This window comes from Homo sapiens, chromosome 17, assembly GCF_000001405.40.
Source record: "Homo sapiens chromosome 17, GRCh38.p14 Primary Assembly".
In the NCBI taxonomy this organism is placed as follows: Eukaryota; Metazoa; Chordata; class Mammalia; order Primates; family Hominidae; genus Homo; species Homo sapiens.
Window position 1 is genome coordinate 56,935,981 of NC_000017.11, and position 2,218 is coordinate 56,938,198.

Genomic DNA, 2,218 nt, shown 5'->3' on the forward strand with positions numbered 1-2,218 from the left:
AAATACTGACAGAAAACTTGTGGTCATTCAGACTTGGGGATTGGTATACATTTTCTTTTTTGAGACGGAGTCTCGCTCTGTTGCCCAGGCTGGAGTGCAGTGACACGATCTCCACTCACTGCAACCTCCACCTCCCGGGTTCAAGCAGTTCTCCCTACCTCAGCCTCCCAAGTAAGTGGGATCACAGGCACGTGCCACCACGCCCAGCTAATTTTTGTATTTTTTAGTAGAGATGTGGTTTTGCCATGTTGGCCAGGCTGGTCTTCCAAAGTGCTGGAATTACAGGCGTGAGCCACTGTGCCCGGCCCACATTTTCTTGACAATAAAGTGAGCCACTTAATTCAAGAACAAACAGTATTTGTTGCCAATGAAAAACTGAGCTTTCAAGCAAAAATTAGAATTTTGGAAAACTTGTATCTGCCATCGTGAGCTGACAACTTCCCAATACTTAAGACTTTCCTGATAAGATCACATATTTGGCAATATTAACAAATGCAATTTTAAAATATCGCTTAATTAAATGTGTCAAGATTTAGAAGATGACAGGTTTCCAGCAAGTTCTGCTGGTGCAGTATCGTGGTGACTCCTCATGTCCTTCAGTGAGGTAGAGCCATGCCTTCCCAAAGGAGTCTGCTCACAGCCTGAGGGCAGAGTCTGGGGGCTCTTCCTTGGGTGTATATCTCAGCCCCCGGGTAGTAGCTGGTTCTTGTATCTGCTATTCCTGTATTTTGAGTTCTCTTTACTTCTTACTAGCCAGTTCCTCATCACTCCGATCCCAGTGAGAATCAGGAATTCTTTATATTAAACTCTTCCTGTTTGGATCACTATGTGGTTTCTCCCTCCTGATTAGACCTACACTGACATAGCAGGTCTTGTAAGCAAGAGCTGTGAACAGTCAAGTGGGGAGAAAAACACATCAGTGCATTCATTACAATGAAGCGAAGGGCACAAAGGAGAGGTACATGTTCCTGCCTGTCTTGGTTTGTGAACTGCAAAAGGTTGTCAAGCTGACATTGGGGGAAGAAGACTTAAGGAAAAAGTTTGCAACAGCTGCTGTTAAGTATAAAGAAGTGGAAAATTAGAACCAAATGGTATCCACGTGTTGAGTGGGCTAGTTCTTTTGCCTGTGAAAAAGAGTTTTTGTGATGTCATCCCTTCGGAACAGTTGAGGGAGCAGAAAGTGAATGACCCAACAAATCCAGACTTGGAAGTAGCTAAAAAGGAAAGTTAGCAGGTAATTAAGTTACCACCGCAGTGCCCAACAGGAGGACAGCAAAGAAGAGACCAACTGTATCAGTGATATGGTTGGAGTTGGAGAACTTAAGCACTTCAAGACAACGGAAAAATAGTGGCTGGGCGTGGTGGCTCATGCCTGTAATCCCAGCACTTTGAGAGGCCAAGGCGGGTGGATCACCCGAGGTCAGGAGTTTGAGATCAGCCAGGCCAACATGGTGAAACCCCGTCTCTACTAAAAATACAAAAATTAGCCGGGGCGTGGTGGCGGGCGCCTGCAATCCCCGCTACTGGGGAGGCTGAGGCAGGAGAATCACTTGAACCTGGGAGGCAGAGGTTGCAGTGAGCCGAGAGAGATCATGCCACTGCACTCCAGCCTGGGCGAAAGAGTGAGACTTGGTCTCAAAAAAAGAAAAGCATCGCTGGATGTAATGCACTTTTTGTTTTTCTATTCTATTGTATTTTATTTTTCAAAATGCTGGTCATGGTCCCCCTAAATTGACTTCATAATCCTTCTTGGGGACTCTATTCATAGTCTGACAAACACAACAGAGGAAAGGAGTGACTCATAAACTGATAATAATCTGAGAAAAACACACCCTGAGGTCAAAATTTTCCTTTGGTCAATGTTCACTAGTTATCTTAATTTGTTTTCCAAACCCTGGAAGGCAACTGTGCTACACAGAACCCCAGTGCCAAGATCCCACCGTTCACATTACTCTCATCCTTTCGGGAGTAATACTTCTCATTACAAATCAATAAATGCACATTTTGAAACACATTCATGTCATGCAAAGTAAAACTGGCCAGCATCTCCACTGGCACAGTGGCTCCCAGATCAGATGAACTCCACTGAACCAAACTTTGCAACATCAGACTCATCAGTCAAAGCAAACCTTCTTATTACAGAAAATTGTAATCTCTCACGTTATTGTAAAATAAGACAATAATTTGCAATACTCAACATGATAACTCGGTAGAGATG